Source organism: Homo sapiens, chromosome 3 (genome assembly GCF_000001405.40).
Source record: "Homo sapiens chromosome 3, GRCh38.p14 Primary Assembly".
NCBI classification, from domain to species: Eukaryota; Metazoa; Chordata; class Mammalia; order Primates; family Hominidae; genus Homo; species Homo sapiens.
The window spans coordinates 122,219,837-122,244,867 of NC_000003.12; the positions used below are offsets into that span (position 1 = coordinate 122,219,837).

Below are 25,031 nucleotides of genomic sequence, written 5' to 3' on the forward strand. Positions count from 1 at the left end.
CCTGCCTTGCAGATTTAGTTTGATCTAGAGTGTGAGGCTTTTTGGTAGCCTTACCAGTAAGATACTTGCCTTCTTGATCTTGTCTATTTCTCTGCCATTTCAACATTATTTTCCACATGAGGTAAAATATTCAGGATTCTGTGACAAGTTTCAGCTCAGTTGCTGCTGTGTGGGTATGCCTGCATGCACATATATGTAAGCACATGTTGTGTCTACTGCGATGAGCGTGTGTGGCAGCTGGAGTGTCAGTAATGGTACATTAGGGCATGTTAACCTGCAGGGCCACAAGCATCTCCATTTTTTAAAAAGAGAGAAGAGAAGAGACACCTGATCCCAAGATAGAGACAACAAAGAAGGATGATCCATTCTGGTGTCAGTTACAAAAAACAGCAGCATACCTCTTCCTGAAACTTGTTTGTGTCTGACCACTTCATCCTGCTCTTCCTCCAGTCTCAATCCCCAGCCAATGCTGATTTCTACCCAACAACACCTAGAAGAATTTGGCAATTTATCCCAACAATAAGCGAAGAGCCAGTGATATGTCTGAGAGTACTAATTATTTCCAAATATTGGGAATCCAGCTTTACACAGACTGAAAATTTCTGAAGAAATACAGAGCAACATCTCTGTTGCTGTATGTCATTACCAGCATCCTTGATAACAGTTTACCACAATGCATTAAATAAATCATAGAACACCAAGGATTTACAGCTTTTTGAGCTTGATATCCAGAAGAAGAGAAGACAGAGTTAAGAAAAGTAACGATATTATTTTTGTCTTCTAAACTCTCTGCTTTGGTTGCTGGGTCCTCTTCTTGGTGATTCAACAACGTACATTAAAATATTAAGGACTTTGTGCTGGGCATGGTGGCTTACACCTGTAATTCCAGCACTTTGCGAGGCCGAGGTGGATGGATCACATGAGGTCAGGAGTTTGAAACCAGCCTGGCCAACATGGTGAAACCCCGTCTCTACTAAAAATACAAAAATTAGCTGGCTGTGGTGGCAGGCACCTGTAATCCCAGCTACTTGAGAGGCTGAGGCAGGAAAATCACTTGAACCCAGGAAGCAGAGGTTGCAATGAGCCGAGATCGCGCCACTGCACTCCAGCCTGGGCGACAGAGAAAACCCCATCTCAAAGAAAAACGACTTTGATAAATGTTTGTTTATGTCTGACCACTTCATCTTGCCTTCCTCCAGTCTCAATTCCCAGCCAATGCTAATTTCTACCCAACAACACCTAAAAGTTGGCAGTTTATCCCAACAATAAGCCAGGAGCCAGTGATATGTCTGATAGTACTAATTATTTCCAAATATTGGGAATCCAGCATGAGGCAGAGTGTAGAAAGAGACATTGAGTTTTATTTAACTGAATTTTTCCATATATTTTTGATCAAGAACACTTTGGGAAATGCTACTTTAAGATTACCATTCATTTTCTTTTCCCCTCACCCCCTTCCTTGGAGAACCATCAATGCTCACAGTTCCAGCTGCCATCTTAGTGCTAAAGTCTCTCTTGTCTCAGCGCAAGCCCCTCTCTACCCCAGCTCTAGGACACCCCTGCCCATAGCACACCTTCACCTAGATGGCTCACAGTGGGGCAGAGTAGGAATCTACAGAGGTTCAGAGGAAGTTCTGAATTCATTAATTCTTCATTCAACAAATATGAAAAAATGAAACTGATGGAATGGAAGAGGCTCTACTTCTGCAATTTTTATTAAACCACCTTGAGAACTGAACCCCAAACTCAGTGAATCTTTGGTTCCTAAAGGTGTAGAATCTTTACTGATCTATTGCCACTAGAAAGATAGTAACAACAACAACACAAATCTCTAGTACACCAGTGAACAATGAAATCCCAGTACACCTGGGAATAATGCAATCTAGGTTTAAATAATCCCCCCATCATTTATTACAGCATGACTTGGACAAGTTGCTTCACCTCTCTGAGTCTCACAAAGTTCATCTTGTGAGTAGCGATAGTATCTGTGGCAATTATTGGGAAGATTTAATGAACAAGTATGGCAAATGTATAATACCTTTTACCTATTGCTCACCTCCCTCTTATTTCTCCATTTAACTCCCATCCTCTCCCATTTCTTTTTATATCCATTAAGCTAGCACAGTCTCCATAAAAACAACTGAATCTACACATCTATTCAAAGCCTTCCTGCCCTAGCATATTGACTATAATTCTACCCAAAAGAGAGAACTGGCTGACAGCTTTCTGCCAATATTGGAGTAGGCTGATCTTTTTCTGGAATAGCCTCTAAAAGACAATAGCATTATTTTTTAGTAGATTCTACAAAACAAGATAAAGGGGACTGGAAGAGGCCCTTTGCCCTTGGGAGGGTCCATTCCTAGCTGGGGGTAAAGGTAATTATCTCTGACTTTTGGTCTTCTCATCTGCTAAATAAGTCCTGAGATATCCACCACTTTTAATAGCCTGTGTACTCTGGGTGTATGCATAGAGTGCCTAGCAGCTTGCCTATACCTCTTCATCCATGAAAGATTCAAGAAGAGGGAGGATATCCGTTGAGCACACTACTGCATCATTTATTAGAGAAAAAAAAATTCCTATTTGGGGGTTACTAGTCTTATATCACATACAACAGACTTTAAACCAACAACAATCTAAAAGGTCAATAATAATAATAATCCTTTCTTAGTAGTAGTAATAATAAAGGATTCAATTCAACAAGAAGTCTTAATGGAGCACCCAGATTCATAAAACAAGTTCTTAGAGATCTATGAAGAGATTTAGATAACCACACGATAATAGTGGGAGACTCCAACACCCCACTGACAGGATTAGACAGATCATCAAGGCAGTATCTAACAAAGATATTCTGGACGTAAACTCAACACTTGACCAATTGGACCTAATAGACATCTACAGAACACTACACCCAAAAACAACAGAATATACATTCTTCTCATCTGCACATGGCACATACTCTAAATCAACCACATGCTTGCCCATAAAGCAAGTCTCAACAAATTAAAAAAAAAATAGAAATCATGCCAACCACACTATTGGACCACAGAGCAATAAAAATAGAAATCAATACCAAGAAGATCTGTCAAAACCATACAATTACATGGTAGTTTAACAACCTGCTCCTGAATGACTTTTGAGTAAACAATGAAATTAAGGCAGACATCAAAAAATTCTTTGAAACTAATAAGACCAGATATACAACATACCAGAATCTTTGGGACACAACTAAAGCAGTGTTAAGAGGAAAGTTTAGAGTGCTAAATGCCTACATCAAGAAGTTAGAAATATCTTAAATTAACAACCTAACATCACACCAAGAAGAACTAGAAAAACAATAGGAAACCAACCCCAAAGCTAGCAGAAGAAAGAAATAACCAAAGTCATAGCTGAACTTGATGAAATTGAGATGCGAAAATCCAGACAAAAGCTGGTTCTTCAAAAAATTAAGTGAGATGGATAGGCCACTAGCTAGATTAATAAAGAAAAAAGAGAAGATCCAAATAAACACAATTGGAAATGACAAAAGTGACATTACAACCAACCGCACAGACATACAAAAAATCCTTAGCGAATATTATCAAAACCTCTATGCACACAAACTAGAAAACCTAGAAGAAATGGATAAAATCCTGGAAATCCAAGCCTCTCAAGATTGAAACAGGAAAAAATTGAAACCTTGAACAGACCAATAATGAGCTCCAAAACTGTATCAGTAAGAAAAAGCCAACCAACCAATAAAAGCCCAGAGCCAGATGGATTCACAGCCAAATTCTACCACATGTAAAATTATTCCAATCCTACTGAAATTATTCCAAAAAATTGAGGAGGAGGAGATTCCACCCTAACTCATTCTATGAACCCAGCATCATTCTGACACCACAACCTGGCAAAGACACAACCAAAAAAGAAAACTTCAGACAATATTCCTGATGAACATCGATGCAAAAATCTTCAACAAAATACTAACAAACCTAATCCAGCAGCACATCAAAAAGTTAACCCACCACAATCAAATAGGCTTTATTCCTGGATGCAAAGTTGGTTCAACATACGCAAATCAATAAATGCAATTTCCCACATAAACAGAATTAAAAATGAAAACTGCATAATTATCTCAATAGATGCAGAAAAGACTTTTGATAAAATTCAACAGCCCTTCATATTAAAAAACCCTCACCAAATTAGACATCAAAGGAACATACTTCAAAATAGTAAGAGCCATCTGTGACAAACCCACAGCCAACATCATACTGAATGGGCAAAAGCTGTAAGCATTTTCTCTTGAGAACTGGAACAAGACAAGGATGTCCACTCTCACCACTCCTATTCAGCATAATACTGGAAATCCTAGCCAGTGCAATCAGGCAAGAGAAAGAAATAAAAGGCATCTAAATAGGAAGAAAGGAAGTCAAGGTTTCTCTCTTCACAAACAATATGATTCTATACCTAGAAACCCCCAAAGACTCTGCAAAAAGGCTCAGAGAACTGGTAAACAACTTTAGTAAAGTTTTAGGATACAAAATCAATGTACAAAATTCAGTAGCATTACTATATACCAATAACATTTAAACTGAGAGCCAAATGAAGAACACAATTCCACGTACAATAGCCGCAAAAAGAAGAAAATGCCTAGGAATACAGCTAACCAAGGAGGTAAAAGTTCTCAACAACAAAAATTACAAAATACTGCTGAAAGAAATCAGAGAAGACACAAACAAATGGAGAAACATTCCGTGCTCATGGACAGGAAGCATCAATATCATTAAAATGTCCACACTGCACAAAGCAATTTACAGAGTTAATGCTATTCCTATCAAACCACCACCATTATTTCTCACAGAACCAAAAAAGACTATTCTAAAATTCACGTAGAACCAAAAAAGACCCTGAATAGCCAAAATAATCCTAAGCAAAAAGAACAAAGCTGGAGGCATCACACTCCCTGACTTCAAACTATACTAAAGGCTACAGTAACCAAAACATCATTGTGCTGGTACAAAAACAGACACATAGACCAATGGAACAGGATAGAGAACCTAGACGTAAAGCCACACACCTCCAACCACCTGACCTTTGACAAAATCAACAATACCAAGCAGTGGGGAAAGGACTCCCCATATGATCATCTCAGAATCATTTACTATTCAGTAAATGGTGCTGGGTTAACTGGCTCGCATAGGCAGAAGATTGAAACTGGATCCCTTCCTTTCACCATATACAAAAATTATCTCAAGTTGGATTAAAGACTTAAATATAAGACCTAAAACTATAAAAATGTTAGTAGAAAACCTAGGAAATAACATTCTGGACATCAGCCTTGGGAAAGAATTTATGACTAAGTCCCCAAAAGCAATTGCAACAAAAACAAAAATTGATGAGAGAGACCTAATTAAGGGAAGAGCTGCTTTCTGCACAGCAAACAAAACTATCAACAGAGTAAACAGACAACCTACAGAATAGGACAAAATATTCACAAACTACCCATCCAACAAAGGTCTAATATCCAGAATTTGTAAGGAACTTAAACAATTGAACAGGAAAAAAAAAGAAAAAAAAACATTTAAAAAGGACATGAACAGACATTTCTCTAAAGAAGACATACATGTGGCCAAATGTATGGAAAAATGTTCATCACCACTAATCATTAGGGAAATGCAAATCAAAACCACAATAAGATACCATCTCACACCAATCAGAATGGCTATTACTAAAAAGTCCAAAAAAAAAAAAAAAAAAACAGATGTTGGGGAGTTTGCAGAGAAAAGGGAACACTTATGCGCTGTTGGTGAGAATGTAAATTAATTTAGCCACCGTGGAAAGTGGTGTGGAGTTTCCTCAAACAACTTAAAATAGAACTATCATTTGACCCAGCAATCCCACTACTGGGTATACACCCAAAAGAAAATAAATCATTCTACCAAAAGGACATATGCACTCATATGTTCATTGCAGCAGTATTCACAAGAGCAAAGACATGGAGTCAACCAAGATGCCCATCAGTGGTGGACTGGATAAAGAAAATGTGGTACATATATGCTACAGAATACTATGCAGCCATAAAAAGGAACAAAATCATATCCTTTGCAGCAACATGGATGCAGCTAGAGGCCTTTATCCTAAGCAAACTAATGCAGAAACAGAAAACCAAATACTTCATGTTCTCACTGATAAGCAGGAGCTAAACATTGAATTCACATGGGCACAAAGATGGGAACAAAAGCCACTTGGGCCTACATTAACGGGGAAGATGGGGGGGTAGTGTGTCTGGAATTGGTGGGCTCTTGGTCTCACTGACCAAGAATGAAGCCACGGACCCTCACGGTGAGTGTTACAGTTCTTAAAGCCGGCGTGTCTGGAGTTTGTTCCTTCTGATGTTCGGATGTGTTCGGAGTTTCTTCCTTCTGGTGGGTTCGTGGTCTTGCTGGCTCAGGAGTGAAGCTGCAGACCTTCGCAGTGAGTGTTACAGCTCTTAAGGCAGCGTGTCTGGAGTTGTTTGTTCCTCCCGGTGGGTTCATGGTCTTGATGGCTTCAGGAGTGAAGCTGCAGACCTTCGCAGTGAGTGTTACAGCTCATAAAGGCAGTGTGAACCCAAAGAGTGAGCAGTAGCAAGATTTATTGCAAAGAGCAAAAGAACAAAGCTTCCACAGCGTGGAAGGGGACCCAAGCGGGTTGCCACTGCTGTCTCGGGCAGCCTGCTTTTATTCTCTTATCTGGCCCCACCCACATCCTGCTGATTAGTCCATTTTGACAGGGTGCTGATTGGTGCTTTACAATCCCTGAGCTAGATGCAAAAGTTCTCCATGTCCACACTAGATTAGCTAGATACAGAGTGTCAATTGGTGTATTTACAAATCCTGAGCTAGACACAGAGTGCTGATTGGTGCATTTACAAACCTTGAGCTAGATACAGAGTGCCAATTGGTGCATTCACAATCCCTTAGCTAGACATAAAGATTCTCCAAGTCCCCACCAGACTAACTAGATACAGAGTGCCTATTGGTGCATTCACACACCCTGAGCTAGACACAGGGTGCTGATTGGTGTGTCCACAATCCTTGAGCTAGATACAGAGTGCTGACTGGTGCATTTACAATCCCTCAGCTAGACATAAAGGTTCTCCAGGTGCCCACCAGACTAACTAGATACAGAGTGCCAATTGGTGTATTCACAAACACTGAGCTAGACACAGGGTGCTGATTGGTGTGTTTACAAACCTTGAGCTAGACACAGAGTGCTGATTGGTGTACCTACAATCCCTTAGCTAGACACAAAGGTTCTCCAAGTCTCCACCAGACTCAAGAGCCCAGCCTCCTCACCCAGTGGATCCCGCACCGGGACCACAGGTGGAGCTGCCTGCCAGTCCAGCCATGTGCCCACACTCCCCAGCCCTTGGGCGGTTGGCGGGACTGGGCTCCATGGAGCAGGGGGTGGTGCTCATCAGGGAGGCTCCCGCCACACAGGAGCCCATGGTGGGGGGTTGGGGTGGGGAGGGCTCAGGCATGGCGGGCTGCAGGTCCCAAGCCCTGCCCCACGGGGAGGCAGCTAAGGCCCGTGAGAAGTCGAGCACAGCAGCTGCTGGCCCAGGTGCTAAGCCCCTCACTGCCCGGGGCTTGCGGGCCAGCCAGCTGCTCCAAGTGCAGGGCCGCTGAGCCCACAGTCACCCAGAACTTGTGCTGGCCCGCAAGCACCGTGTGCAGCCCTGGTTCCCACCCACGCCTCTCCCTCCACACCTCCCTGCGAGCTGAGCGAACAGGCTCTAGCCTTGGCCAGCCCAGAAAGGGGCTCCCACAGCGCAGCAGTGACCTGAAGGGCTCCTCAAGCACGGCCACAGTGGGAGCCAAGGCCGAGGAGGCACCGAGAGTGAGTGAGGGCTGCGAGGGCTGCCAGCACGCTGTCACCTCTCAGTAGGAGCACTGGGGTTGAAAGCTGCCTATAGTATACTATGCTCACTACCTGGGTGACAAGATCATTCATACACCAAACCTCAGCATCATGCAATTTACCCGTGTAACAAACCTGTATGTGTACTCCCTGAACCTAAAATGAAAGCCAAGATAAAAACTAGTTAAAAATAAATAAATAAATCAATCCCTATTTTCTAAGGACATCTAAATGACTGCTCATGTCAGTATGGCTACTTCAAAATAATATGTCCTTCCTGAGATGTATATGCCTGTGAAGGACACCAGCAGTCTGAGGGAGGAGCAGATTCGAATGGTCCAGTGGAAGAACATTGAATTGGGGATCTGAGAACTGGTTCCAGCTGAAGCTTTGCCAGTTACCAGTTGTTTAGTATTGGACAAGTCACTTAATTCCCTGACTCTCAGGTAGTTTTGTTGCTGTTGTGGTTTAAGTATCATGGGGCTAACACTAGTAATCTTTTCTTGGTCTAATAGTGCTCCATCTTTTCTTCCTAGGTCTAGTCATATTTTGAAAACAAATTAGTTTCACTGTACATGCTATTTCATAAATTTGTTTTTTAATTTATTTAAATTATCAGCATATAATGAGCATTTTCCTATGTCTTTAGGTAGTTTTATGACATGTTCTTAAAGATTACGTTGTATTCTGTTATGAGACTATACCATCTTTGCACACCAAGCCTCACTTGTGGAACGTGGAAATGCCTTTATTTCCTATTAGAAGTAGTATTAACCAGGTGCAGACAAAAGGAATTAATCTGGACTTCTTCAATTGAGATTACACCTCATGTGTTTCAGCTACATAGACCCATCTGTCTCTGGCTGGAATTAGGAGCCTAAAAAGAGAAGGGGCTGAAGGACTGCTCACTTAGAAGAGTAGAAGGGGCTGAACAGGACAGGAGGTGCATATGTTTATTGATGGCTGACATGCCACACACTTACATGTGTTAGTACAACAACCCTGTGAGGTAAGGCTTATCCCCCATTACATTTGCTGTAAGAGCTGAACTGAATCCATGCTCACAGCTACCATGTTGAAAGGGGAAGCTGAGAAGGGCCCAGAACCACCGCTGTGCCACTACCCCTGAGACTCCACCATCCTCTCCTCCACACCATGACACCTGACCCTCTCCTTTGCCTGTCCACACCTACCATCTCAATGCCCCACTCTTCTCAAATGCATCCCTCAGATATTCACTGATTTATCCTTTCAGGACTTCTCAATCATGTATTTACCATCTTATTATAAATGATCTGATGCTCAGATTCTTAGGGTTACAACAGTTGATTTACATAGCCTTGCCTATGTGCCGTTAAGTCACTTCAAGATGGAAAACTCCCTGATTAAACTTAAGATGTAGTAATCCCACAACATGAATACTCTGGACTAAGTATATATTTTATTGTAAACAGTCTTAAATAAAATATATACATTGTTTAAATCTGCTAAACACTTTTTACCAACGTCTATACACTTCCCACCCACCTCCACCCACCCTCAAAATCAGGCCACTCTTCTTGTAGCAAAATTCTCTACTTTCCTACCAGAGTGTGTAGTGTTCATTTGCATTTCTATTTAGGTGAGTTTATTTCATAACAGTCATGGCAGTGGGCAGAGCCCACAGAAGTCTATACCCTTCTCTGCCTCTAAACAGTCATGAACAAATGAAGTGAGTTAGATGACTTCTAATATCCTTTCCAAATTTAAAATTCTGCATAATTTGGCCATATCTTAATGTTCCAATAAAATGCATCTTTCCAATGTGGTTTAGTTTACTGTGTTAAAAGTTTGCACACTAAAAATTAGAAGTAAGAAGCCTCAGCCAAGCATGGTGGCTGACACCTGTAATCCCAGCATTTTGAGAGGCCAAGGCAGGTGGATCACTTGAAGCCAGAAGTTCGAGACCAGCCTGGCCAACATGGTGAAACCCCACCTCTACTAAAAATACAAAAATTAGCTGGGCATGGTGGCACACACCTGTAATCTCAGCTACTCGGGAGGCTGAGGCAGGAGAATTGCTTGAACCTGGGAGGTGGAAGCCACAGTGAGCCAAGATTGTGCCACTGCATTCTAGCCTGGGTGGGCAACAGAGTGAGACTCTGTTTTAAATAAATAAATAAAAAAGGAAGCCTCCCATTCCTAACCAAGTAAACTATGAAATAATGAGAGACTGTACATTTCTGTTCTACTGCTAACACTGCTAGTGTGTGGCCTGTGACTTGGCAAGCTGCTTCCTGTTTCTGAGCCACAGTTTACCTATTTGTAAAATGGAAGATTTGTACTAAACATATTCTGAGATGCCTTCTTGGCCCCGGCATTACAGTATTGGATTCTAATCATGTATTCATTCTGCTCAGAAATGTTTCTGGTGTTTCTGGTCTTAAGTTATCAATAACCCCTGGTAGAGTCTGGGACATTGGGACGAGATCCTGCAAGCTCAGCCTAGGCTTGCCGGCAGCTGTTTGAAGGAGTCACTCGCATGGACCAGTAAAGCAAAGGCAGCGATGACGCCTCGCGGTGAGGGCCAGAACCCAAGTCCAGGGAAAACGCTCCTTTAGCGCCACGCATTACAAAACAACCTCTCCTCCTTGCTGACGCTGCCGCCACATCCGGGGTGAAAATCGAGCCTAGATCTTTCTGCTCCAGCACAGCCTGGCCTGCAGCGGATGCGGGCGTGAGAGGGACGCAGGAGCAGCGGGGGCGGGGATGCTGCTGACCGTGGAGAAAGCAACCTCCTTCCCTGAGGGGCTTCCCCTCTCTGCGCCACCATCCCCCACCCCCTGCAACAGGGCAGCGGCTGAACCCATCTCTGTAGGTGGGAGGTGGGATGGGAGGGAGGAGGAAGACCCTCTCACCTGAGCAGGACTTGGAAAGGAACCAGGAAGAGAGCCCACTTCCAAATCCAGTCTCTTCCACTGAGGTTCCACCTGCATAGAAGGGGCTTCCTGGGACCCACCAAGCCCGTGATACCACTTGGTCATCTTACAAGAGAAGACACCAAAGCCCAGAGAAGGAAGCAGCTGTCCCAAGGAGGAGCAGCTAGGTGGGGACTAGAACCACCATATCCTGGCCCCTTCTACTTCTCTGTCCCCTCCACTAGACTTCTTCAGCCAAAGGGGGTTTCTCTTTTTTTAGTTTCTTTGCAAACCTGCTTCCAAATATTTGTATTGACCTATCGGATTGATACTTAAAGAATCAGGGATTTGTGCATTTGACACCTGAAACTCATCTGTCCCCTAAGGATCTTCTTGTGTGTTCTGCTTACCATCCACTCAGAATTTTTGCAGCTTTTTGAGGGTCATCATCCACCTGCAGTCACTTTAGAGACATCAGAAAGTGTCATGATCATGATCCCCTTGTAGAAGTGAGAAGTGTGTCCTGCAGCTAATCCCATCCACCATGCAGACAGGATGCTAACCAGTCTCAGAGGACACCATTCCTCTGGCCCACCTGTTGGGTGGCTTACCTGACTTTCTGCCCCAGTCCTGTCTCAGCATCATACACTTGCTGTTTGAAGGTGGCCATCCCACGAGTGGGCTAAACTAGGCATTCTAGGACTGGTCAGGAGGTGGCAAGTCATCATGCTGATCAATTCAATTAGTAAAGGCACTGTTTGGGAAGAGAGAGGGGGACACTATCACCATCATACGAAGAGCTAATGTTTTTTGAGCATTTACTATGTGGTAGACTTTATGCTAAATTCTTACAAGTATTGTTTTAATATAATCCTTACAGCAACCGTACTATTGTTATTCCTGTGTGGACAATGAGGAGACAGAGGCACATAAGGAAAAGGTTACTAAATGGGGAATAAGGAAACTCATCTTCCATTCTTTCTCTATCTCTCTGTAATCTCGTGCTAGTCACTTAACCTTGCCTTTCTGGTACATGAAACATCTGAATTGGAAGAAATTATGTGCATATGTGCATTTTTCTGGAAAGAGCAGCCACAATTTTCATCAGCATCTCAAAGACACCCATTACCCCCCTCCCACTCACAAAAAAAAAAAAAATCAAAGAACTCTCAGGACTATCTCATTTTATAGCCTTTTTCACACTAAACAATTTACCTTGCATTCTCTTCTAACATTGTAAATACCGACGGGCTTGAGCAGTACCGATAGGCAGATTCAGATTACAGTCACCCCTGAGCCAAAGACCTCTCTGTGATTCAGGGGTGTGAAGGGCTCCTGGCTGTGCACTGGCCTTTCCAGCACACCCGCATGTCCAGATAGCCATCGCAGGAAGGACGACGTGGGGATGGGATCATCAGATTCACCCTCCAGCTACTTGCAACACCTCAGCAGTTTTACTTCAGCTTGTTGTATTCTTTCCTTGCAACTGGACTGTAAGTTTATATTGCAACCCCAAGAAAAGATTCACAATCCCTTTTTTTTATTGTACTATAAAAAGAATTCTAGTGATAGAACCTCCACAGGGCTTGAAGTGAAGCAGCCATTCATTAAGTGTCTGCTGTGTCCTGAGTATGCCAGCAATGAACAAGACAGACCAGGTCCCTGGCTGCATAAAGAGCAAGAGGGACTGTGGCAGGGAAGTGCCACGCAGATGCAGAGAGCACGAGAGTGAGGCCTGGAGAACCAGGAGGGGCTTCCTTGAGAAGTGGTGTTTGAGCCACTGAAGGATCCCTGAAGAATGCCTCATCCCTGATGGATGAAGAGAAATGAATTAAGCAAGAGGCACAGGTCAGAGGGGTGGAAGAGCATTCTGAGAGGGATGGGAAGGGCCCAAGGCAATAAAGAACTTGGCCCACTGGAGGAACTGAAGGGAGGGCAGGCTAGGTGCCAAGAGAGGGAGAGTGGTGTGGGAGATGCAGCCGGAGAGGAGGCAGGGCCAGTGTATGCAGGGCCCAGGAATCGCCAGGTGGGATGCTAACTGGCTGTGGGCTGTTGGCAAGGCAGGTAACAGCTCACATGTTCCATTTCCTTATCTTCAAGGTGAGAGTCTTCAATTAGATGATCTCGAAAGCCCTTTCTGACTCTACCATCCTGTGATATTGTGACTTCAAAGAAAGTGAAGTGATTGCTGAGAAAGAGAAAAGTGGCCCCTGACAACCTGGATCTGGGTGGTCCCATAAGCTAGGCCTTGGCGTTCTCCTGTTAAACATAAACAACTTCACAGAACATCAACAGCAAGCAAGATGTCTCTGTGACCATGATAAAGACAAAAATAAGACCACTCCACAATCATGTCTGAACACAGACAAAAAACGTTAACATTGTCCAAACCATGGAACTAACCAAACATTTCCCTATTCTGGCTCGGAGGAGTGACTGCTACTCCTTTACCCTTACAGCTTCAGTCTCACTTAGTCTTCCTCCCTTCTAGACAAGATTTATTAAGATATGGAATCATAGAATTTACCCCTGCTTCTGACAGCATGCAAAGCTCCACTTCCTTAAACCGTCCCCAAAATCGCCTACCACAAACCGCACTCCTGTAAGTCCTTTCTAACACCCTGTCGGTGAGACACCCCACCGTTCTCCTTCTCTGCTATGTCCTGTCCAAGCACAGGGTGTTCCTCATGCAAGTGCAGGGCTGGCCATGAGAAGCAATGCCACCCTACACTTTGCTCTCCTGGTGTCTCTCTTGTCTCACCAGTTCCAGCCCAGTCCTGGGGGTCTTTGGCTGGATGGAGTTGACATCAGTCCCCTTCCCTGCTCTTCTCTAATCTCACCACAGGTACCCTGCTCTGGGCCTCAGGGTGTTGGGGAGTAGAGCTGGGAAGTAGCGGAGGAGAAAATGAGGAAGAGAAATGCAAGAGGGCGACTTCACAGGGGAATTTTGTCCACCTGATGATGTGGGAACGGAATTAAAACTGTCTCCAGAGCGAATGTTTCTTCTCTCACTTGAAGTCTGGGCTTCCTCCTTTTATGTCTATGCCCCACCCAGATTACGCATGGGCTACTTGGGCGGTTGTGGTATTTCTGTTTCCCAACCAAACGCCACCACCTCCCCTTAAAGCCATCTTCACAGGAAGGTAACCAGCTCCCGGTGGAACTGACCCATTTGACAGTATCTAAGGGGAACAAAAATTGTTGCTGCTGCTGATTCAGATTCACAGCTTGGACTTCCCACCCTTAGCTAAAAGTTTTTCACTGGGGGGAGTCCCCACCACACAACCTACTCTATTCATGTGAGCCAGTGGTAAACAAACCAGACTCCTGGTGCCTCCTGAGTCAGATGATAACCAAGGGAAAGAAGTGACCTCTATCTCTGGACACAAAACAAACTAGAGGACCCTTACTCCTCTGATTGAGAAAGCTGGTGAAGTCAGCTCCTTTCAACTTGGAGAAGCCATTGCTCACATCAGGCGCATAACTGTTTCCAAAGTCATGGAAATGTCCAGTTCATGGCAAAAGTAGGGTTTTCTTTGTGCTTAGTTTCATGAAGAGGTCAATCAACTTTTTCAGTAAAAGGCCAAATATTAACTATTCCAAGCTTTGTGGGCCAATCTTTGGCATAACTACTCAAATCTACCCTTGCAGCACAAAAGCAACCATAGATATAATGCAAGTGATTAGGCATGACTGTATTTCAGCAAAACTTTATTTATAAAAACAAGCACACCAGATTTGGCCCATGGAATGTAGTTGGCTGGCCCCTGGTGTAATGTAACCAACACGTGGGCACAGCTGAATAAGAAGAGGAATAATAACCTTTGCCCATTACTTTCTAAAGAGCTTACTTCTCATTAGACAGATTGAGAGGTTTAAAATCAGTTTGGAAACTGCTGGAGGATGGAGGAAAAAGAGGGAGAGAAGAAAGAAGAAAGCAAACATGAGAGGATGGAATTTTATTTATTTCAAATGGAATTTAGTTATTTCAAATAAGTAATGGAAGAATCAGAGTGGAAAGAGTTATTTGTAAGGCCTCTGTATAGCAGGCTGACCCTAGTCATCTCTTACCCTGACCAGCTGGACAGGAGTCACTCACTGAGGCTCAGGCTATGTGGACTAATCCAACTTCAAAGTCAGGTTTATAGAAACATGTGTGGGCTTCTTTGGGGAAAGTTTATCTGAGACAGTGTTCCTCCGGACCAGCTTCGGGTGTCATTAGCAACAGAGAATCTTCTCATAGAGACAACTGAATGTAGTATGTTCCAGGATTTATTTTTTAAATGCTGGTTCCTGATTCTTCTGGGCAAAGCCGAAGAAGGCAGAGAGACACTGAGAGTGCACTGCATCAGCACAGATTGTGGAATGTTTAGGACCATTTCAGTTCCCAAAGAAAGAGCCCCTGAAGAGCTCATAGAAAGGGCTCGCAGGAGAGTAGAGAAGGACCAGGGAGTGCTGGACACTTCTAACAGTCACAGGTGCTGTGACTTCTAACAGTTGCAGGTAAACAGGGTCCCAGACCTTCCCATCTGGGACTGATGGATTGATTGTGAAGAATATATACTCATTCCACAAATTTAAAAAGGGAATTAATAATGAAAGACTTAAGTGTAAAGTAGAGCACCCAAGACTCTGCTCGGAAAGGTAGACGCAAATGATAACCACATAGGTAAATCCCCTGCATGTGGCTGGGAAGAGAGGGTGAGAAGTAGTCTATCTATGGTTAGTGGCCATTTTCTCTAGTTCACAGACCATGCATATTGATTATAGATTCAGAAAGTTACCCTAACTTTACAGCAATGACTTCTGAACTGTGCTTTCCTGGAATACTGGTTTCATAAGATGTTAGCAGTTATTTTGCAGGAGAAAGGTTTCAGGGAAACCGAAGAATGAATTGACATTGACAGGAAACTGTTGTGTATCCATTCAAAATACATTTTTGTTTGGCTGTGTTATCCTTGGAGAAAAGTAATAGTATCAGAAGAATCCTGGGCAATACAGCAAGGTCCTGTCTCTACAAAATTTTTTAAAAAATAGCCTGGGGTAGTGGCATGTTCCTATAGTTTTAGTTACTCAGGAATCTGAGGCAGGAGGATCACGAGCCCAGGAGTTCTAGACTGCGGTGAGCTATGATCATGGCACTGCACTCCAACCTGGGCAACATAGTGAGACCATGTCTCTAAAAATGATAATACATAAATAAAATTACATTTAAACAATCATTTTTAGGAAACACAATTTTTAGAGCTCAGAACAGAATATGACCCTGGACAGATGCATATGAAAGACGGTCTAGCAATGGCTTTCAAACTTCTTAAAACACAGGTTGCTGGTCCCACACCCAGAGTTTCTGATTCAGTAGGTTGGGATGGGATTCGTGTTTCTAACAAGTTCCCAAGTGATGGTGCTGATGCTCGTCCAAGGACCACAATTTAAGACTCACTTCCCTGCACCCGGCCCCATGCCCAACAGATAGGAGGCTCTTTTTACAGTAACAAGAAGTTTCTTTCTGAGGGTTACCACATTAAAAGAAATCAATTGAATGGGTTTCCACCATGTGTGAGGATATATTGGCTGACCCAGCATCAAAGTCAGGGTTAGAAACATCCATGGGCTTATTTGGGGAAAGTTTATTCCAGACAGTCTTCCTCCAGAACAGCTTCAGGTGTCCTTAGCAATGGAGAATCTTCTCATAGAGGCAACTGAATGTAGCATGTTCCAAAATTCATTCTTTAAATGCTGGTTCATGATTCTTCCGGGCAAAGCTGAAGGGGCCAGCTAATAAATCAACACATATTTCCTGACATTTCCTGACAGGGAGACATGTTCCTTCAAAAATGGGAACAAAATTCATAATGAATTTAGTGGGGAGGCATAGTTCTTCAAAAATAAAATTCAGTTTGAACATTTTCAATCTGAGATATTTGGGGATTAAAAAAACAGATATAGGTTCTGAAGGGACTACTCAAGCAAATGTATATTAGGAAATCAAGGAGGCCCTAGAAGGCCAGAATATGGACATGAGTCAGCCAAATTGTGGAGTTATGGACAAAAGCTAACAAACACATCTTGAAATCTCCAGTGGGACGCAAATTCTTTTAACCTCAGGTCAGCCCCAAATCATGGTACCAATTTCTGTTAACATGCTCTAAAAAATGACATGAAGAACTTAGAATAGGTTCTTGGCATATTAACAAATATATCTAGAAAAATATGAAGTAGTCCTAAGCAGAAAGGTTTGAAAGAAATTTGGATAGTTAAGCCTGAAAAAAAAGTGAAGGTGATTCTATCTTTAAATTAATGAAAATTTTTGTCTCTGGCCTTTCATTGCAGTGGTAAATTAGGCAAGAATAAATGGCCTTAATTTTAAAATAGATGTGATTTTAGTTAACTGTGAGGTAAAATCTTCTTTAAAATGGGGTAATGAAACACTGGAGGCTTGTTATTTTGGGCCTGGAAATTTGTAGAGATGCTAATTGTAGCTAACAGTACTTATGCTTTTTTTTTTTTTTTTTTGACAGAGTCTTGCTCTGTCACCAAGCTGGAGTGCAGTGGTGTGATCTTGGCTCACTGCAACCTCCACCACCCGGGTTCAAGCGATTCTTCTGCCTCAGCCTCCCAAGTAGCTGGGATTACAGGAGTGCACCACCACGCCCGACTAATTTTTGTATTTTTAGTAGACATGGAGTTTCATCATGTTGGCCAGGATAGTCTCAATCTCCTGACCTCATGATCCACCCACCTCAGCCTCCCACCTTGGGATTATAGGCATGAGCCACCACACCTGGCCGAAGTGTCTTTAAAATTCCACAGAGCTCTTCCTTGGTTCCTGCACAATCTCAAAGCCAATTGAAAGAATTGCCATACTATTGAAAAAGTCCAAATGCCCACCAATGGGAAAATGAATGAATAAATTGTGACATATTCACGCAGTGGAATATTATACCGCAGTTAAAATCATGGATTATAGTAAAGTACAACAATATAGATGAATTTTATTAATACGATATTAAGTGAAAGAAACTCAGAAGATTACATATAGTATGATACCCTTTTATGAAGCTTAAAACAACTAAAATTTTAAATACATTTTGGGAACATAGGTAGATACAATATAATCATATAAAAGGAAGACAAGCAATGACCACAATGAAAAAGACTGGCAGTACCAAGGGTGGACAAGGACATGGAGTGATAGAACTCTCATAGAGTGCAGTGGGAAGATAAATTGGTACAACACTTTGGAAAACTTTTTGGTAGTATCTACTAAAACTAAAGATACACAAATTCTATGATGTAGCAACTCCACTTCTAGGTATATATTCAACATACATTCACAAAAAGGCATGTTTAAGAAAGCTTATAGCTGAGGGTGGAGCAAGATATCTGAACAGAAGCCTCCACTGATGGCTCCCCCCTGCAGGAACACCACATTTTAACAACTAACTACACAAAAAAGCACCATCAAAAGAAGTAAAAATCAGGTGAACAGTCACAGCACCCGGTGCTAATTTCATATTGCTCAAAGAGGCACTGAGGAGGGTAGGAAAGACAGCCTTGAATCGCTGATACCACCCCTCCCCTATCCCCCCAGCAGTGGCCGTGTGGTGCAAGAGAAAATCTGTGCATTTTGGGGAAGGAGAGCACAGCGACTGGGCCACTTGGCACTGAACTCAGTGCTGACCTGTCACAGCAGAGAGAAAAGCTGTGCTGGGCTCAGCTGGCATTCGCTGAGGAGGAGGGAGCATTTGGACCAGCCCTAGCAAGAGGGGAATCACCCACCTAAGCAGTCGGAACTTGAGTTTCTGCAAGCCTCACCACCACGTGTTAAAGTGCTCTGGGGTCTTACATAAGCTTGAAAAGCAGTCTAGGACAAAAGGACTGTAATTCCTAACTAAGCAATTCCTAGTGCTGGGCTAGGCTTAACACTAGAGCCAGTGGACTAGAGCAGCAGGTGACCTAGGGAGACACCAGCCAGGGTGGCTAAGGGAGTGCTTGTTCTACCCATCTCCCAACCCCAGGTAACACAGCTCACAGCAACTAAAGTGACTCCTTCCTTCTGCTTAAGGAGAGAAGAGCAAAGAGTAAAGAAGACTTTGTCTTGCACCTTGGATACCAGCTCAGCCAAGGTAGGATAGAGCACCAGGCAGAGTCATAAGGCCTCCATTCCAGGCCCTAGTTCCTTGACAACATTTCTAGACATGCCCTGGGCCAGAAGGGAACTCACTGCCTTGAAAGGAATGAGCTAGTCCTGACAGAATATATCACCTGCTGACTAAAGAGCTCTTGGGCCCTGAATAACCAACGGTGATACCCAGGTAGTGTGCCATGGGCTTTGGGTGAGACTCAGACATGCTGGTTTCAGGTGTGACTTACTACCTTCCCAGCTGGGGTGGCAATGGCAAAAGATTCCTTCTGCTTGAGAAAAGTAAAGGGGATATTTTCTTGCTGGTACCTTAGGTACCAGTTCAGCCACAAGGGTGTGGAGCACCAAGCGGGCTCTTGGGTCCCGAGCCCAGGTGTAGGCTCCTAGACAGCATTTCTGGACCTGCCATGGGCCAGAGGGGAGCCCATTGCCTTGAAGGGTGAGTCCCAAGCCTGGCAGCATTCACCACAACCTGAGGTGCCCCTGGGCTTTAAATGAACATCTGCAGTGGCCAGGCAGAACTCCCCCTGAGCTAGTGGTGGTGGTGGCCACCAGGAGGGGCTCCTCTGCCTGTGGAAAGGTGAGGGAACAGTGAGAAGGACTTTGTCTTGTGGTTTAAGGGCCAGCTTAGATGCAGTAGAATAGAATGCCAGGTAGATTTCTAAGGTTGTTGGCTCAAATCCTGGCTCCCAACTGTGTCTCTGGACCCACCCAACGCCTGGGGGAACTCACTGCCCTTAAGGGAAGAACACAAGCCTGGTTGGCTTCTTCACTGCTGATGGCAGAGCCCTAGGGCACTGAGGTAGAACATAGATGGTAGCCAGGTAGTGGTTACAGCAGGCCTGGGGCAAGACCCAGTGCTGTGACGGCTTCAGGCCTAACCCAGAACAGTCCCAGTGGTAGTGGCCACAGGGAAGCTTGTGTCACCGCACCTCCAGCTCCAGGAACCTCAGCACAGAAAGAAAGGCTGTGTTTGTTTTGGAGGAAGTAAGGAGGAGAACAAGAGTCTCTGTCTGGTACTATAGAGAATTCTTCTGGGTCTTATCCAAGACCCCTATTTGGAAATACACAGTCAGAGGAGACAAAAGAAAAAAGAACAAAAAAGAATGAAGCACACCTAGAAGATCAAGAGAATGCCCTCAAAGGGACAAATCTAAGAGTTACTGGTCTTAAAAAACAGGTAGAGAAATAGATAGGGGTAGAAAGTTTATTCAAAGGGATAATATCAGAGAACTTCCCAAGCCTAGAGAAAGATATCAGCATTCAAGAACAAGAAGGTAATAGAACATCAAGCAAATTTAACCCAAAGAAGACTACCTCAAGGCATTTACTAATCAAACTCCTGAAAGTCAAGGATAAAAAAGGATACTAAAAGAGCAACAGGAAAGAAGCATATAACATACAACAGAGTTCCAATATGTCTGGCAGCAGACTTTTCAGTGGAAACCTTATAAGCCAGGAGAGAGTGCCATGACATGTTTAAAGTGCTGAAGAAACAAGACCCAATGATCTGTTGCCTATAAGAAACACATTTCACCTATAAAGGTACACATAGGCTGAAAATAAAGGGATGGAAAAAGATATTCCATGCCAATGGAAACCAAAATAATAGAGCAGGACTAGCTATACTTATATCACATGAAATGATTTCAAGACAAAAATTGTAAGAAGAGATGAAGAAGGTCGTTATATAATGATAAAGGGATCAATTCAGAAAGAGGGTATAACAATTTTAAATATATATGCAGCCAACACTGGAGCACCCAGATATACAAATCAAATATTATTAGAGCTAAAGAAAGAGACCACAGTACAATAATAGCTACAGACTTCAACACCCCACTTTCAGCATTGGACTGATCTTCCAGACAGAAAGTCAGCAAAGAAACATCAGACTTAATCTGCAGTATGAAACAAATGGACCTAATAGATATTTACAGAACGTTTCATCTAACAGCTACAGAATACACATTCTTCTCCTCAGCATGTGGATCATTCTCAAGTATAAACCGTATGTTGGGTCACAAAACAAGTCTTAAGGCATTCAAAAAATTGAAATAATATCAAGCATTGTCTTTGACCACAATGAAATAAAACTAGAAATCAATAACAAGAGGAAGTTTGGAAACTATACAATCACATGGAATTTAAACAACATGTTCTTGAATGACCAGTGGGTCAGTGAAAAAATTAAGAAGGAAATTTAAAAATCTCTTGAAGCAAATGATAATAGAAACATAACATACCAAAACCTATGCAATATAGTGAAAGCAGTACTCACAGGAAAATTGAAAGATACAAGTGCCTACATCAAAAAAGAAGAAAAACTTGCAATAAATAACCTAATGATGCATCTTAAAGAACTAGAAAAGCAAGAGCAAACCAAACTCAAAATTAGTAGAAGAAAAGAAATAATAAAGATCAGAGCAGAAATAAATGAAATTGAAATGAATAAAACAATAAAAAAGATCAATTAAATGAAAAGCGGGTGTTTTGAAAAAACAAATAAAATTGACAAACCTTTAGCCAGACTAGGAAAAAATGAGAGAAGACCCAAATAAATAAAATCAGAGATGAAAAAGGAGACATTACAACTGATACCACAGAAATTCAAAGGAACATTAGAGGCTACTGTGAGCAAATATATGCCAATAAATTGGAAAACTTATAAGAAATAGATAAATTAATTGAAACATACAACCTACCAAGAGTGAACCAACAGGAAATCCAGAACCTGAACAGACCAATAAAAAGTAATGAAAACAAAGTCACAATAAAAAGTCTCCTAGTAAACACTGGGACCCAATGGCTTTACTGCTGAATTCTACCAAACATTTAAAGAAGAATGAATACCAATCCTACTCAAACTATTCCAAAAAACAGAGGAGGAAGGAATACTTCCAAACTCATTGTATGAGGCCAGTAGTACCCTGATACCAAAACCAGACAAAGACACACACACAAAAAAAAGAAAACTACAGGCCAACATCTCTGATGAATATTGATGCAAAAATCCTTTAAAAAATACTGACAAACCAAATTCAACAATACATTAAAAATATCATTCATCATGACCAAGTGGGATCTATCCTGTGGACGCAAGGATAGTTCAACATACACAAATCAATCAGTGTGATACATCATAACAACAGAACGAAGGACAAAAATCATATAATCGTTTTCAATTGACACTGAAAAAGCATTGGATAAAGTTCAACATCACTTTATGATAAAAGCCCTCAAAAACCTGGGCATACATGGACGTAATTCAACATAATAAAAGCCATATAAAACAAACCCACAGCTAGTATCATACAGATTGTGAAAAAAATCTGGAAGCCTTTCCTCTAAGATCTGGAAGAGGACAAGGATGCCCACTTTCACCACTGTTATTAACATAGTACCGGAGTTCCTAGCTAGAGCAATCAGACAAGAGAAAGAAAGAAAGGTCATCCACATTAGAAAGAAAGAAGCCAAATTATCCTTGTTTGCAGAAGATATGATCTTATATTTAGAAAAACCTATAGACTCCACCAAAAAAACTATTAGAATCAATAAACAAATTCAGTAAAGTTGCAGGATACAAAATCAACATACAAAAACTAGTAGCATTTCTATATGCCAACAGTGAACAACTTAAAAAATAAATCAAAAAAGTAGTCCCACGTATAATAGTCACAAGTAAAATTAAATACTTAGGAATTAATCAAAGAAGTGAAAGATCTCTACAATGAAAACTATAAAACACTGATGAAAGAAATTGCAGAGGACACAAAAAAGGAAATATATTCCATATTCATGGATTGGAAGAATCAGTATTGTTAAAATGTTCATACTGCCCAAAGCAATAAAAGATTTAAGGCAACTCCTATCAAAATACCAATAACATTCTTCACAGAAATAGAAAAAACAATCCTAAAATTTATATGGAACCACAAAAGACCCAGAATAGCCAAAGCTATGCTTAGCAAAAAGAATAAACCAGAGGAATCACATTATCGACTTTCATATTATGCTACAGAAGTATGGCAACCAAAACAGCGTGGTACTGGAATAACAACAGACACATAGCTCAGTGGAACAGAATAGAGAACCCAGAAGCAAATCCACACACCTACAGTGAACTTGTTTTTGACAAAGGTGCCAAGAACATGCATTGGAGAAAAGACTGTCTCTTCAATAAATGGTGCTGAGAAAATTGGATATCCAAATGCAGAAGAATGAAACTAGACCTCTGTCTCTCACCATATACAAAAATCAAATCAAAATGGATTAGATACTTAAATATAAGACCTCAAACTATGAAACTACTAAACAAAAACACTGGGGAAGCTCTCCAGAACATTGTAGTGGGCAAAAATTTCTTGAGTAACACTCCAGAAGCACAGGCAGCCAAAGCAAAACTGGATAAATGGGACCACATCCAGTTAAAAACCTTCTGCACAGCAAAAGAAACAATCAACAAAGTGAAGAGACAACCCACAGAATGTGAGAAAATATTCGCAAACTAGCCATCTGACAAGGGATTAATAACCAGAATATTACAAGCTCTAACAGCTCTATAGGAAAAACATCTAATAATCCGATTTAAAATGGGTAAAAGATCTGAATAGACCTTTCTCAAAAGAAGACATATGAGTATGAAACAGGAATATGAAAAGGTGCTCAACATCACTGATCATCAAAGTAATGCAAATCAAAACTACAGTGAGATATCATCTCACCCCAGTTAAAATGGCTTTTATCCAAAAGACGGGCAATAATGAATGCTGGCAAGGATGTGAAGAAAAGGGAACTCTCATACGCTGTTGGTGGGAATAAAAATCACTACAACCACTATGCAGAACTGTTTGGAGGCCCCTCAAAAAACTAAAAATAGAGCTACCATACAATCCAGTAATCCCACTGCTAGGTATATATACCCCAAAGAAAGGAAATCAGTATATCAAAGGGATATCTGCACTTTCATGTTTGTTGCAGCAGTATTCACAAAAGCCAAGATTTGGATGCAACCTAAGTGTCCATCGAAAGATGAATGGATACAAAAAATGTGTTACATAAACACAATGGAGTACTATTCCATCATAAAAAAAAAAATGAGATCCTGTCATTTGCAGCAACATGAATGGAACTGGAGATCATTATGTTAAGTGAAGTAAGCCACGAAGATGGACTTTGCATGTTCTAACTTATTTGTGAGAGCTAAAAATTAAAACAATTGAACTCATGAACATTGAGAGTAGAAAGATGGTTACCAGAGGCTGGAGAGGGTAGTCGGGGAGTGGGGAGGAAGCAGGGGTGGTTAATGGGTACAAAAAGTAGTTAGAAAGAATGAATAAGACCTAGTATTTGATAGTATAATGGGATGACTATAGTCAATAATAATTTAATTATACATTTTTAAATAACTAAAAGAAAATAATTGGATTGTTTGTAACACAAAAGATAAATGCTTGAGGGGATGGATACCCCATTTACCATGATGTAACTATTACAAATTACATGCCTTTATCAAAATATCTCAGGTACCCCAGAAATATATATACCTGCTGTGTACCCACAAAAATTAAAAATTAATAAAAGAAAGTTCATAGCAGCACTGTTCATTAAAACCCCAAAGCGTTCATTAGCAGGAGAATGGATAGGTAACGTGTGGTAGAATCATAGGAAAATACTATACAATAATGAGAAAAAACAAACTATGGTTACATACAATATAGATGAATCTTGCAAGTATGTTGGACAAAAGAAGCCAGATACTACATAATTCTACTTATATAAAGTTCAAAAACAGGAAAATCCCATCTTTGATGGTAGAAGTCAGAGTACTGGCCATCTTTGGGGAAGGTAATGACTCTAGGGAGGCATGAGTGGGGGCTCCGGAGTTCTGGTTCTGTTTTTTGATTTGGATGCTGGTTACATGAATGTTTACATTGTGGAAATTCTTGTATGATTTGTGCATATCTGATGTCTATCATGCTTCAATTAAAATTTTATTTTAAGAGTGAGAGAAAGATAAGGGAGATAAAGATAAGGGAGTAAAAATAGATAATAACAAATAGGATGGAAGATAAGAAGTATCAATAAGCATAGTTTTCAAAATATAT

The 25,031-nt window shown here is 41.7% G+C and overlaps 1 protein-coding gene across 4 annotated transcripts in view, besides 1 other annotated feature; it reads left to right on the top strand.

Moving 5' to 3' along the window:
• CASR (calcium sensing receptor) overlaps positions 1 to 25,031 on the top strand; it is a 107,962-nt gene that overhangs the window by 36,169 nt on the left and 46,762 nt on the right. The gene's annotated exons all lie outside the window — the stretch shown is intronic.
• Positions 13,634 to 13,723: an enhancer, noted in NCBI's record as "active region_20365". NCBI's record gives its function as "activates an Ori minimal core promoter by ATAC-STARR-seq in GM12878 lymphoblastoid cells {active_cell/tissue: GM12878}" and the evidence as "EXISTENCE:reporter gene assay evidence [ECO:0000049][PMID:35858748]".